Source organism: Homo sapiens, chromosome X (genome assembly GCF_000001405.40).
Source record: "Homo sapiens chromosome X, GRCh38.p14 Primary Assembly".
In the NCBI taxonomy this organism is placed as follows: domain Eukaryota; kingdom Metazoa; phylum Chordata; class Mammalia; order Primates; family Hominidae; genus Homo; species Homo sapiens.
Genome location: NC_000023.11, coordinates 102,759,832 through 102,775,453, shown reverse-complemented (window position 1 = coordinate 102,775,453; position 15,622 = coordinate 102,759,832). Strand labels below are relative to the sequence as shown.

General features: G+C 40.7%; 1 protein-coding gene and 1 long non-coding RNA gene across 9 annotated transcripts in view; both read right to left on the bottom strand.

The window, feature by feature from the left end:
* The window catches only part of LINC00630 (long intergenic non-protein coding RNA 630), a 195,371-nt gene extending 189,070 nt beyond the window's left edge, over nucleotides 1-6,301 (bottom strand). For 6 of the 7 annotated variants that reach the window (NR_146589.1, NR_146593.1, NR_146591.1 and 3 more), the window contains exon 1: nucleotides 6,113-6,301. This is a non-coding gene — a long non-coding RNA (long intergenic non-protein coding RNA 630). Of the gene's footprint in view, nucleotides 1-5,033; nucleotides 5,103-6,112 lie in introns of all 7 variants that reach the window. The other variant, NR_038988.2, reaches the window with a different exon arrangement.
* The window catches only part of ARMCX5-GPRASP2 (ARMCX5-GPRASP2 readthrough), a 308,717-nt gene that overhangs the window by 132,611 nt on the left and 160,484 nt on the right, over nucleotides 1-15,622 (bottom strand). The gene's annotated exons all lie outside the window — the stretch shown is intronic.

Genomic DNA, 15,622 nt, shown 5'->3' with positions numbered 1-15,622 from the left:
GAAGTGAAAGACCTCTATAATGAAAACCACAAAGGACTGATGAAATAAATTGAAGGGGACACCAGAAGATGGAAAAATATCCCTCGTTCAGGCACTGGAAAAATCAATATTGTTAAAATGCCCATACTACCCAAAGCAATCTACAGATTCAATGCAATTCCTATCAAAATACCAATGACAATCTTCATAGAAATAGAAAAAAAGTACCCTAAAAGGGATATAGAACCACAAAAGACCCAGAATAGCTAAAGCGATCCTGAGCAATAAGAATAAAAGTGGAGGAATCACATTACCTGACTTCAAATTATACTGCAGAGCTATAGTAACCAAAACAGCATACTACTGTCATAAAAACAGACACATAGATGAATGGAACAGAATAGAGATCCCGGAAAGAAATGCATACGCCTACAGTGAAATCATTTTTGATAAAGGTGCCAAGAACATATACTGTAAAGACAGTACCTTCAATAAATGGTCCTGGGAAAACTGGATACCTATATGCAGAAGAATGAAACTAGACCCCTATCTCTCATCATGTACAAAAATCAAATCAAAATGGATTAAAGAATTAAATCTAAGACCTCAAACTATAAAACTACTACAAGAAAACTTTGGGAAAACTCTCCAGAACATCAGTCTGGGCAAAAATTTCTTGAGTAATACCCCACAAGCACAGGCAACCAGAGCAAAAATGGACAAATAGCATCACATCAAGTTAAAAGGCTTCTGCACAGCAGAGGAAACAATCAACAAAGTTAAGAAACAACCACAGAATGGGTAAAAATGTTTGCAAACTACCCATCTGACAAGGAATTAATAACCAGATGTATAAGTATCTCAAATAGTTCTATAGGAAAAAATATAATAATCTGAATTTAAAATGGGCAGGCCGGGCACGGTGGCTCATGCCTGTAATCCCAGTACCTTGGGAGGCCAAGGTGGGTGGATCACGAGGTCAAGAGATCGAGACCATCCTGGCCAAAATGGTGAAACCCCATCTCTACTAAAAATACAAAAATTAGCTGGGCATGGTGGCATGCGCCTGTAGTCCCAGCTACTCGGGAGGCTGAGGCAGGAGAATCGCTTGAACCCAGGAGGTGGAGGTTGCAGTGAGCCGAGATTGCGCCACTGCACTCCAGCCTGCTGACAGAGCAAGACTCCGTCTAAAAAAAAAAAAAAAAAAAAAAATATATATATATATCTGAATAGACATTTCTCAAAGGAAGACATACAAATGACAAACAGGCATATATAGGTGCTCAACGTAATGAATCATCAGAGAAATGCAAATCAAAACTACAATGAGATATCATCCCTTCTCAGTTAAAATGGCTTATGTCCAAAAGACGGGCAATAACAATTGCAGGTGAAGATGTGGAGAAAAAAGAACCCTCGTACACTGTTGGTGGGAACGTAAATTACTACAACCATTGTAGAGAACAGTTTGGAGGTTCCTCAGAAAACTGAAAATAGAGCTACCCATGTGATCCAGCAATCCTACTCTGGATATATACCCAAAAGAAAGGAAATCAGTATATTGAAGAGACATCTGCACTCCCATGTTTGTTGCCACTCTGTTCACAATAGACAAGAGTTGGAAGAAGCCTGTGTCCATCAACAGATGAATGGATAAAGAAAATGTGGTACTTATACACGATGGAGTACTACTCAGCCATAAAAAATAATGAGATCCAGTCATTTGCAAAAACATGGATGGAACTGGCGATCATTATGTTAAGTGAAGTAAGCCAGACATAGAAGGAGAAACCTTGCATGTTCTTATTTATTTGTGGGGTCTAAAAATCAAAACAATTTAACCTGTGGAGATAGAGAGTAGAAGGATGGTTACCAGAGGCTGGGAAAGGAATTGGGGAGGGTTGGGGAGAGATGGGGGATGGTTAACCAGTACAAAAAATAGAATGAAACGGACCTAGTATTTGATAGCACAACAGGGTGACTATAGTCAATAATAACTTAATTGTATATTTTAAAACAACTAAAAGAGTATAATTGGATTTTTTTGTAACAGAAAGGATAAATTCTTGAGGAGATACCCATTTTCCACGATGTGATTGATATGCATTACATGCCTGTATCAAAACGTCCCATGTACCCCATAAATACATACACCTACTGTATACCCACAAAAAATAAAAATAAAATAAACAATTATTTTAAAAAGAAGAGTAATTGAACCTCTGATTATAAAATTTCAAGTTTTATGCAATTACCAGGCTCTACCATCTTAACAAGCCCTGTTTTGGGGCAAAGTGTATAATAATAAATTAGATCTAGATTATATCATCTTTTGAATTGAGGGTGCTTTTTGTGTGCCATAATTCTCTTCTCTTTTTGTATTGGGAGAAATATTAAATAGGTGGAAACCAACCCAGATCCTGAACTTAAATCATGTAGGACTTTGGTCACTGAAAACATAAACAATTAATAGCTGCTGGCCAGGCGCGGTGGCTCACGTCTGTAATCCCAGCACTTTGGGAGGCTGAGGCGGGCGGATCACAAGGTCAGGAGATCCAGACCATCCTGACTAACACGGTGAAACCCCGTCTCTACTAAAAATTCAAAAAATCAGCCAGGCGAGGTGGCGGGCGCCTGTAGTCCCAGCTACTCGGGAGGCCGAGGCAAGAGAATCGCTTGAACCTGGGAGGCAGAGGTTGCAGTGAGCCGAGATTGCACCACTGCACTCCAGCCTGGGCGACGGGGCGAGACTTCGTCTCAAAAAAAAAAAAAAAAAAAATAGCTGTTATACTATTGAGATGTTCTGATCCCACATCAGGATTGTAAATCCCTATGGTTGATATGAACTCTAAGATATGATCATGCTGTTATCCCTAGGGTAACTTGTTCTATTGATCAAATTGCTTGGGTCAATAAATTATAACACACTTTTATGAATAACTAGTCTAGTCCGGGTTTTAATCATTCAGAGGTTGTACGGTGCTCTGAAGTTACCCCAACTGAAATTTTTAGCCCAGTAGATTAAATATTATTCCTTTAAATAGTTAATGTTTTTTGTGTGTGGCCTAATTAAGCTCCATTGGGTCGTCTTGTTTTATCGCCGCATGAGAATCACTAAAGTTAGAGACTGACCATACCAAGCACTGACGAGGTTGTGGAGGATGAAGCTCTGCTGAGACAATGAAAAATGGTACAACCACTTTGAAAACAGTTTGGCAGTTTCTTACAATGTTAGTCTTACATCTATAACATGTTCCAGCCACTGCAATCCTAAGTATTTACCCTAGAGAAAGAAAGCACATTTCTCTGTAAAGACTCATACACAAGATCCCCTAAATTGAATACAACCCAAATATCCATTAGCAAGTGAATGGACAAAACGAATTGTAGTATATCCTATACTGTAATGCTACTCTGTAATAAAAAAAAAAAAACTATTGAAATAGGCAATAAAATGGACAAATCTAAAAATACATAGAGTGAATGAAAGAAGCCAGATCCCTAAAAAAAAAAAATAAAAAAAAAACCTCTATGATTATTTTTAAATAAATGAAATCTAATCTATAATGACAAAAGTGCTGTATTTGTCTGGAGACAGGACAGTGGGAGGAATGGGTAGGCTGGGTACAACAGAACTGAAAATGTTATGTCCTTGAAAATAATAACAATGATATATAAGCCTATACGGTTCCTTTAGGGGACATGGCAGGGTATCATTAGAATAGGGCAAACTAGATACTGAAGGACCAAGAGGGCAGAGTAGGAGATATCAGCCTTCATCACCCCCTGCCACAAAAAAACAAGTGTAGACAGCTATCCACAAACTAAAGTATTCATGGGAGGGCTCAGGGGCCCATTTAAGAATCTGCAGCAACACAGTAGAAAAAAAAATGGGGAATATCCACACAGAAAATATTGCTGGTGAGATCAGTATACTTGAGGTGCCAGGAGATGTCTAGGAGCAAAGAAGAAAGGCAAAGGCTATTGCTATTAGCCATGTGGCAGGAATCACCATGGTCCCCAGCAGTCTGCTCTGGAGAGGACACTGGCATCTTTCGCCACTGAGATAACCAACAGCCATTCCTGCCCAAGGAACCCCAGAGAGGGAGAAGTGGCTACACACTTCTCATCTCAAGAAGCAGCAGCTATTATACCACTCTGGGACCAGAGGTGCCACCTGTCCCAATGCTGCATGTGTCACTGACCCCCCCAAGCTACAACTACTCTGTAAATACCCATACTCCAGACCCCAGCTCTGTGCCTGACTGTGCCTGCCCATGCCTCAGACACCAGAGCCACTGCCATAGAGACCTAGCAAAACACCTTCACTCTTCAGATAACTCCCTGAGAAAACATACCAATTAGAGGAACTAGGCTGGGATCCGGGCCCCTAAGCCAAGGTCACTTTGCACATGTCTGTACTCCAGACACTAGATTAACATCCATTGAAGGCTAGCCCATACTCCAGACCCTGGATAGGAAGAATAATCTCTAGTGTTCTATAGCATTATACTAAATTATCAAACAATAATTTAATGTATTTTTTCAAATAGCTAGAAGAGAAAATGTTGAATGTTACCAGCACATATAAATGATAAAGATTTGAGATGATGGATATGCTAACTACCCTGATTTTATCACTACACATTGTATACATATATTGAAATATCACAGTGTACCCCCATAAATATGTACAATAATCATGTGTCCATATATAATAAAATATACATTTTTCAAAGTAAGACATACAAGTGGCCAACAGATATGTGAAAAAATTCTCAATATCACTAATTGTCAGGGAAATGCACATTAAAACCATAACAAGATATCACCTCACACTTGTTAGGATGGCCATTATTTAAAAAAACAGAAGATGGTAAGTGTTCACAAGGATGTGGAAAAAAATGGAACCCTTGTACAATACTGGGAATGTAAATTTATACAGATATTACAGAAACAGTATGGTCATTCCTGAAAAAAACTAAAAATAGAATTACCAAATGATCCAGCAGTCCCCCTTCTGAGTATATATCCAAAGGAAATGAAATTAGTACCTCAAACAGATGTATGTACTCCCATGTTCACTGCAGCATTATTCACAATAGCCAGGGTATGGAATCAACCTAAGTATCCACCAACAGATGAATAAAGAAAATGTCATACATGCACACAATGGCGTACTATTCAGCTTTTTGAAAAAAGAAGGAAATCCTGTCATTTGTGACAACATGGATGAACCTGGAGGACATTAAGTGAAATAAGCCAGGCACAGCAAGACAAATACCACGTAATCTCACTTGTATATGGAATCTAAATAAGTTGAACTCATAGAAGCAGAGAGTAGAACAGTAATTACCAGACAGAGGCTGGGGAGGGGTTTGGGGAGATGTTGGTCAATGGATACAAAATTTCAGTTAGAGAGGAGGGATAAATTCAAGGGATCTATTGTACATCATAGTGACCATGGTTAATAAAAATATATTGTACACTTGAAAACTGCTAAAAGGGTAGATTTTAAGTGTTCACCACAAAAAAAAGTACATTAGGTAATGCATAGGTTTATTAGCTTGATTCAGCCATTCTACAATGTATAAAATATATCAAAACATCATATGACTTTTTAATTGACACTTTATAAGTTATAGTTCATAAACAAATTTATTATACAACAGATATGGGAGAATGCATATTATAATCTCAAATTGGTAGGAAGGCCTTCTAACTAACTTTATATTTCAACATTCATTTGATAGTGTTGATGGGAATCACTGGTTATTATTTATGCAGTCAGAAATATATATATAAACTTATCATAAATGCATGTTAAACATAAAGTTTCTCCCTTGTCTATACTGTAAGAAAGTTTGAAACAGAACAAGAAGAGGCCTGACTTCATACAGGCATTCCTGATCCTGCAATAACCACAGGGCTATCGTCTTGCACCTATGTTATCACTGAAGGTTTCAGCAATCCTGTGGGTGAGCATTTTTATTTCCATTTTACAGAGTGGGAAACTGGGCTCAGAGAGGGTCTTTACCTGTCTCATCCTCCCGCGTCCCGCCTTTACAGGGAAAGTAGCCCCGGGACACCCTGGAGCAGGACACCACACTCACTGGGGCCAGAAGAGACCCACCTCTCTCTCCTTCACGAAACAGCCAGAGCGCCGATCCCCAAAGTGGGAACGAGGGGACGTCGATCTGGGGTCCTTTCGTCTCCCTAAACCCCACGGAGATTCAGGCCACACTGCTGGGCACTCACAACCTCCACTGAGTCCAAACGCCTGAAGGCGGTTCTCCCCAGGCCAAATTGGTCTCAATAAAAAGTCGTCACCGTCGCTAATATGACGTCAGGTTACTATGGCAACCGCGTAGCACTGGCTTGTCTTCCACACCTGAAAATGACTATGCACAACCCGCTCCTCCATCCCCAGCCTATCCCTTAAAGCAAAACACCTTCATTCTTCAGATAACTCCCTGAGAAAACATACCAATTAGAGGCTGGGATCCGGGCAATTTTCAAGACTCTCTACTCATTATGGTAGAGGAAAGGAAGTCCATGTTGTCAGGAATTTTGCTTTAAAAGTGACCTAAGGGGGCCGGGCGCGGTGGCTCATGCCTGTAATCCCAGTACTTTGGGAGGGCGAGGCGGGAGGATCACGAGGTCAGAAGATCGACACCATCCTGACTAACACGGTGAAACCCCATCTCTACTAAAAATACAAAAAATTAGCCGGGCGTGGTGGCGAGCGCCTGTAGTCCCAGCTACTCAGGAGACTGAGGCAGTAGAACGGTGTGAACCCGGGAGGCGGAGCTTGCAGTGAGCCGAGATTCTCAAAAAAAAAAAAAAAAAAAAGTGACCTTAGAGGAGTATCATCAGTACACAGAAGCCCAGAGAGGTGTCCTAGGACTCTGGGAGATGAGCTAGCCCTCTGAGGAGGAACATGTACAACTCACACACTATACTAGGCAGTTGGTTTTCTGTGGCAGAAAACAGATTGTTTATAATCAAGTGACTGAATGATCTAGAAACACAAAAACTGTCATTTGAGTAATAATACAGTTATTTCAGGGAGGCCGGACTAGAATAATATAATCATTTAGTAGGCAGGAATCCAGTCAATTAAAACACACAGTAGTTTGCCTTAAGGAAATTTTTTTTTTTTTTTTTTTTTTTGAGACGGAGTCTCGCTCTATCGCCCAGGTTGGAGTGCACGGCGCAATCTCAGCTCACTGCAACCTCTGCCTCCCAGGTTCAAGCGATTCTCCTGCCTCAGCCTCCCGAGTAGCTGGGATTACAGGCGCTTACCACCACACCCAGCTAATTTTTATATTTTTAGTAGAGACAGGGTTTCACCATGTTAGTCAAGCTGGCCTCGATCTCCTGACCTCGTGATCCACCCGCCTCGGCCTCCCAAAGTGCTGGGATTACAGGCGTGAGCCACCGCACCCAGCCCTGCCTTAAGGAAATTCTTATCCTTCATTCCTGGTATGTTTTTCCATGTGGAAAATACATCCATGACAAAAATACATGTAGCCTCTACACACTCACTCCTCTCTACGGCAGGAATGACTTATCCGATTGGAGAATCTGGAAGGAGACACATGATACTCTGCCCAAGCCCTCTCCCTTCAACTTCTTGGTAGTAAGCTGCCCTTCAGGAGGCACTTGTTCAGCTTTGCCTTCAGGGATGGGACTTAAAATAGGCCCACAGGTTTACTCCTCTAACTGTGTCTCACTGACTCTACAATTATTCCTATAGTTCTTGATTCACAATGCTTAATTCTTTAAGGGGCCCCCAAAATACTCTTCTGCTTCTAGTCTGAGCTCTAAACCAACTGAGAAACATAGGAAAAGAATAAGGAGAAACATATATTGACTTTATCTCTTATAAGGTGATATTGGAGAATGTGACTTAGATTTGCTGTCACGTGGGCTTACTATGAGTAAGTTCTAGAATTGACTTATCCACCCAGCAGTGCTGCATTGGGACAGTCATAAAGACCAAGGACTGCAATGTATATCTATCTGCTGTCTCCTAAAGGAGCCCTGTCTATGTGTGCCCAAGGAAAGTTACTTCCTTGCCAAGGGTTATCACTATAGCAGGAGAAAGTGTTTCAGGACACTTTCTTTGAGAAACACTTCTAAAATTGTTCAGAATGAATACTCACTAAGACAACCTCTCAGGTTTCCTCATAGAATGGTTTGTAGCAATGCCCTCTCAGTATCTTAATTCACATGATTGCAGTGGGAATTCTTCTTAAGGAGTTAGGTTTCAAATTTTAAGACTAGCATGAAAAATAGATATCATGTAAATTGCCCTTGGGAATCCCTTCAAGAAGGAATTGATGACATGTTCAGAAATCTGTACCCACATGTAAGCCAACACTCAGATGATACAATTATAACCAAGTTTCACTAAGCCTTCAAGGATAAGAAAATTCCTTTCTTACCCAATGATAACACAACACAGAAAATGAGGAAAAGTTCACCAAAACCATAATGTTTTAGATATCCGTTCCTTCTTAACAAGCACCCTTAATTAATAGCCATTTATTTTCTCTCAGTATTTTGTGTGTTAACTGGGCCCAGCTGGATGTTTTCTGCTCTATATGATGTCTGTCACCTGGGGCTGCAGTCATCTGGAGGTTCCACTCATCTGGGACATCTGAGAGAGCTCACTCACATGAATGATGACTGGTGTTGGCGTCTGCTGGGAGCTCAGTTAAGGCTGTTGACCTGAGCATCTTGGCTCTCCACAGAGCCCTCCACGTGTACAGTTACCAGATTAAAATCAACTCAGTTAACTTTAAATTCCGGATTAATAGGAATATTTTTTAGTTTATGTGGCATGCAATATTAGTTTATTTAAAATTAAAATCCAACTGGATTTTAATTAAATAAATAAAAGTAAATGAAATAAATAACAAAATAAAAATTTTAAATCGTCTTATTATTTGCTAAATCTGGCAATTGCAGGGGATGACCCTGTGAATCTCTAAGTTTAATGACCATCTGAGCTGATTCTTCCAATGGGACAGGTCTGGGGAAAATGAGCAGATTGGATTGGCAATAAGGACAAAAGTTGGTAATACTTGGTGTTGGTGGAATGAAAAGCCAGCAGACGCTCACATATACTGTTGGTGCCAAGTGGATATATCTGTTTTCCAAGGCTCATATTATAACTTAAGACATTAATGATCTTTGATGCCAAAGTCCTATTTTTCCACCAACAAGGGAGTTTCAGCTGAGGGTTTAGAAAAGACTCATCAAGGTGACTACGATGTGCGCCCTCTTAAGGGGCCCTGGCTGAGGTGGCAGCTCAGAGTAACATGAGTTCCCTGCTTGGAGGAGGAAAAGACAGCTACTATTTTGTAAGGCAGATGGTTTAGCTGGGCCCAGCTCCAGTTTCTTCACATTAGTGTCTGGATTTAATCTCATGACAGCCGTGCTGGTGAGGTACCAGTATCCTCTCTTCCTCATGGATGTCAGTGACTATAAAGCACGTGCTCCTAAACACAGAGCTGAATGGCAAGGAGGTTACTCACCAGGCCCACTGCCAGAGCCAGGGATAGAACCTGCCAGCCTGGGCACCTTGAGTTGCTAGTGGTAGACCTTTAGCAAATGTATCTGGACATGTACTGTTAAGGAGGTTAATCTCTGTTCTCCTTGCTTACCCTCCCTGCAGTAAGGTTGGTGCCCCCTCTCCTTACTTCAGGGGAGGTTTGTGAGAGGGCTGACAGCAGAAGCCTTCTGGAGCCAGTTTTTCTTTCATCCTTTATGAAAACTTAATTTGTTGAAAGGACCGGGCTGCTTGTACCTGGTAGGGATGTGGGGGCCTCTCAGGACACAAAGATGGGAGAGGAAGGAAGATTTCTCCCAGACAGGGATGAGGCCTGAGGTCTACAAATCTCTCCAGGAGTTGGGACCTGAGCATTGCTCTGTATCAATGTTTGTGGTGAATTAGTGGATGGTCCTTCGAGTCTGGGCATCCATCCATGATTCAGATTTGATTTTCCTGTTTTGATCCAGGGGTAGATGACTCAGGATCTGGGACATGAAGGCACTGGGCCAACTAAGGAAATGGTCATCTCAGCCCTGAGCAGTGTGGACACGAGTGGTTACAGCAGGAGACTCTTGAGGCCATATCAGGAGGATACATTCCCAGAAGTGGAACTGTTTTGTCAAAGAGCATGACCATTTAATATTTTTAATGCTTCCTATATAGTTGAACTTTAAAATTTCTTTAATAGTTCTTATATTCCATCCAACAATTTGAAAACATCTGTTTTTCCTGATCTGTGCAAAAATAGGTTTCACAGATTTTTAATATTTTTTATTCTGAGATCCTGTTATTGGTACATTAGATTTTCTTTATTTTTCCCTATCGTATTATGTTTTAAATAGTGTATTTCACAGGTGCATTAAAAATGCTTAGCTAATGGTTCCATATTATACCTTAGAATATGTCTTGGAATAATTCTAGAGTTTGAAAAGAAAACCCAATCATCGAATTTGTGTTTATGTTGCATCCTGTTTGAATTGAAATGTTGGGGCCACGAGAAGCCCATACATAGCTTGGAGCGGACAAATTGGTACAACTTCTTTGTGGAGATATTGAGCAGCACCCACAATAGAAGCATGTGAGGCTCTGTCATCTGCTGCCCTCTCAGATGTGCATTGCAGAGTCTCGGTACATAGCAAACCTGTTCACAGGAGCATGGGTAAATATCAAAATAGTCCCAAAGTCACCTGGTTAGAAACATCTCAGAAACACTATTTTCAGAAGAAAACATTTCGATAATAGATATATAAATATGTTACTTATATAGAGATAAAAATATGCAAAGCAATTATGTGTTTAGTTTAGGGATGTATTCATGACTAAACAAGAAATTTTGGATAGTGGTTCCTTCTGAGGGCGCTGAGGCAATCAGGGAACTCACACAGGAGAGTCCACTCTGTAATGTTTTGCTTCATAACCTTGGTTGTGTACGTGTTTGCCTACTATCATATTTACAATACCTTTTGAAAAGTCTGAAATCTATCAAATTTGACATGAACAAAGCTCTAATGTGTTTTATCTCTGATTAATAAGTAACCCACTGTCTATTTAAAAAATGTGGAAAGTGCATTCAAATACCAATATGAATATTGATAATATCTAACCCCACCATGCACTAATAAAAACTGTAATTATGTTTCCACCAATTATCATCTATACACATGTGTACATGTAAACAAAAATACTGTGTATGCATTGAATAGATTTAACTTAACTGGAATGTATTAATTTATTGTAGGTGTGTAACCAGACTTAGTGTCTGAAAGCTACATCCATCTAGTAGCTCACAGGTCTGTAGGTCAGAAGACTGGTCCAGCATGACCTTATTCTCTGCTCAAGGTCTCACAAAGCTAGAATCAAGGTGCCCATGTTGGCTCCACTGAGGTCTCACGCGGATGATCTAGATAAAAATCTGCTTCCAAGATCATTCTTGCTGCTGGCAGAAGTCATTTCCTTGTGGCCATTGAACCGCAGTCCCCATTTCCTTGATGACTGTCAGTTGGGGATATTCTTAGCTCCTGGGGGCTAGTCCACTTGCCTGCCATGTGGCCTCCTTCTTCCATCCAGCAATGGCACATTGAAGGCTTCCTGTGCTTTGAATCTCTGACTTGCCCTACTCTAAACAGCAGGAGAAAATTCTCTGATTTTACAGGGCTTGACTAATTAGGTCAGGCCTATGCTGATCATCTCCCTTTTGCCATATAACAGAACATAATCGTGGATCATAATGTGTCTGGTCTTATGACTCTAGTCTTCCGTCCAGTATTCTTGTCATATTGCCCTGTGGTGTCCCTTCTACCTTAAAGTTAATGGGAAACTGCTCCTCCAGTGTCAAACTGAATGATAAATTAAGAGGATAGGAAGGCAGATGCAGTTATAGGAAATGGTATGGTGATTTATTTTTCCTTTTCCCCAGCTCTCACATGTAACTCATCCCACAACTCAGAACTGGCCCAAAGCTCATAGGTTATGGGGATATATTTCAGCTCTTGCTGCTACCTTTCCACAAGGTCTCAATAGCAGTAATGCCCTTTGGTTTAGGTCAATGTCATCTACTCTCTGGGAGGGAGGGGGCAAATAGCCAGACCTGTTATGTGCTGAAGTCCTACTATCTCCCATAGGCACTTGACAGGTTTTCTCATTTATCCCTCAGGACAGTACTCTGAAGAAGATAATGTGGTGCGTCTTATTTCACAGATGACCAAGCTCCTTCTCAAAGGGACTAAGACCCTCTCCAGAGAAGTGGCAGAAATGGAATGTGATTCCATTCTTTCCCTCCCCACAATAAAACCAGCAGCTTCCCATTTGGAAGTTTTACATTTCCCTAGTATTGTCCCCTAAAGGTACTCACTCAATAACCCCTCATGTTGAGGAAGATGATAGTGGAGATGAAATCTTGTTTTCTGGCCCATGAAACCTAGCTGTGAAGTTACATGTACCGGCAGGTCCTTAGGGTCCCTCTTAGGCCCACTTCTTTTGTCTGAATGTTTGTGTCTCCCACACATTTATATGTTGAAACCTAATAATCTTTAGGAGGTAGTTAGGCCATGAAGGCAGAGCCCTCATAAATGGGATTAGTGTCCTTATCAGAGGCCTGAGAGAACCTGTTTGCCACTTCACCATGTGAGCATGCAGCAAGAAGGTGTCATTTATGATGCAGACGGAGTCTTTACCACACTACAAATATTCTGGCATCTTGATCTTGGACTTCCTAGCCTCCAGAACTTTGAGTAATACATTTCTGTTGTTTACAAATTACCCACTTTCAGGTATTTTGTTATGGCAGCTCAAGTGCACTGAGGCACCCACTGACCCCACTCCACTGACATCAGACCTGGGCATGTGACTAGATGTGGCCAGTGAGCTATGAGGGGAAATGGAGTGTGCCCCTCCCAAGCAGAAGTGATAAGGGCCATCTAGGAGTCCCACCAGCACACTTTGACCTTCTGCCTCAGCAATGTCCCAGATTTCCTATGAGATAGTTTAATTCATTTAATCCTTCAGCAGCACTAGAATATGAGAACTTATATGATGGCAGAAATGCTTGGAAAGAGACAAGCCAAATGATTTATACCCAAAATTGGCCTGCTAGAAGATCCCCTCAACTCACATGCCCTAACACCAAGTCTGTAGCCAGGAGAAGGTATATGTTTTACCCACATCACACAGAAAGCAGTTTGTCAGGCTCTGGAAGCGACATCTTCTGCCTTTCACTCCATTGCTCTCTCCAGAAGACCCATCCTCATGCTCTGCTCTTCCCTGGGCATGTGTCTTTATGGAGCCACAGGAACAACCCAGATAACCAGTCAATGGCCACTCCTGATGTTCACTCTCCAAGGGGGGCCCAAAGAGGTCAGGAAAGGTACACTGATTCTAAAGAAATGGGGTGACATTTCCCCATGCCACCTACAATGCACGATGCCACAACACAGAAGAGGCACCAACTCTTACACATAATGTGGGTCTGTGTGAGTTTATTTTTCTTTCTGTTGCCTTGCTTTCAGAAGCTCTTTAGAACACAATTATGCTGCTTAGCACTATGTAGTTTAGGTTAAAGTCATCTCAGAAGCAGAAGTTAGAAAGGGGGATGGAAAGAAAACTAACATTTCAAGGGCCTACAATGGGCCAGACACTGTGTTAGGCACTTCACATACTGTTTCTCTAAGTCCTTACAACTGTTCTGTAAGTTAGGTATCAATATTCCCTGCTTAAACTTATTCCTCCCCAGAAGCAGGCTCTCCTAAGGCTAATGGAGGTTAAATATATTTTACAAGGACACACGCCCAATAAGAGGCAGCATGGTTATTTGAATCCAGGGTGGTCAGACCCCAACCTTGGGTTCCACCATGAACCTTTGCAGATAGGTGTGGGTAGTAACATTTGCCCTGTTCTAGAGCAGGTTTTCTCAACCTCAGCACTATTGACATTTTGGGCTGGAGAGTTCTTTGCTGTGGGGGCTGTCCTAGGCATTGGGGGATGTTCAGCAGCCTCCTTGGCCACTAATCATAAGATTCCAGTAGCACCCCCAGGTGTGACTACCAAAAATGTCTCCAGACATTTCCATGTCCCTGGAGCTAAGGAGCATAATTGCTCCTGAATGGGAATCACTGCTTTAGATATAAATTGCTCATAGGTATTTGAATTCATGGGTCTGGACCCCTGAAGAAATTTCTGTAATAAAGATATGGTTTGAGGGCTTCTGGAGCCTGGCATATAATAGACATTCCATACATATTTGTTAAATAAATGCATATGGCATACAGAATTGAGAGTCTCCAGTCTTTTTTCATCCTTACATGAGTTTCTCAAACTGAAGTATAGTCGTTTTTATAAACTGTATCAAAATCTGCAGTTTCAACCAAAATTTAGAGCTTAGCTTTTGTTCCCCTTTATTAAACGCATGTTTTAAATGGTAAAACATGTAGAAATTGGTTATATGAGCAGCAAGTAAAGCCAGACCCAAAAGGAGTTTCAACGTCAAGACAGATGAACAAAAAGCATGAAGGTCCACCCTAGCCTACATTTCTATGCTGGACACCATGTTCAGTACTTTAATGACATTAATGTATTTGAGCTTCGTAACAGCTCTTTAAGGTATTATCCCCATTTATGGATCAGGACCTCAAGGTATAGAAAGGTTAAGAAACTTGTCCAGGACCACATGGCTAGTAGGGGGCAGAGGCAGTACCCTAGCCCAGACTGTATGGTGTCAAAGCACATTGGTATTAACCACAATGGTATCCTACCACACAGCAACATATATCTGTAGAGCCTCAGCCAGGGCCAAACACTCTGGGAGTTTTTGTTTAACTAATTGAACTGAATGTAGTGACTGAGTGTAAGAATTCTGGTGAGATTGCAGCATGACTGTTAAATACATCAGAAATTTTTTAAGAATCAGACAGAGAAATAAGCACATATTACATTATATATTACCTTAAGCATCATTTTTGTATTATAGAATGTTTAGGATGATATAATTGAGATAGGGATGAAAGACCACCCATTTATATGTAACTGGTGTGTGTACATTCCTGCTTCCTTTTTTTTTTTTCCCTGTCAGCAGCAGAGAAGCAAGAGAACTTGATGTTGGTTATATCCTTCAAGGTACAGAGAGACAAGATCCCACAAAAGAATAAAGCAAAATAACGATGCTGACAAACAGAATACTGTAATGGGAGGCATGAAATCTGGGTCCCGGGGCTATATCAACAACATTCTTACTTTATAACACTGAGTAAGTCACTCTACCCTTCCTTACTTCCATTAGAAACAGGAATAATAAATAAAATAAAATAAAACAAGAATGATGGCCATTCAGAAGAAGCATAATGAAGAGACTCTTTCTCTGTTTTATACTAAAACAAATTACAAGGCAAGAACAATTAAAACCAATATAACAATATATAATTTAATGAAATAAAATAGAAAGCCCACTGAGAGAGTGACCAAAGCATTTATAAATGTTTATGATGATAAAAGTGGCATTTTCAAATCACTGGGCAAAGAAAAATAATTTTTATTATTATTTTTAACACATATTCAAAAGAAAATGGAGTTGTATTTTCATCCTCACAGCAT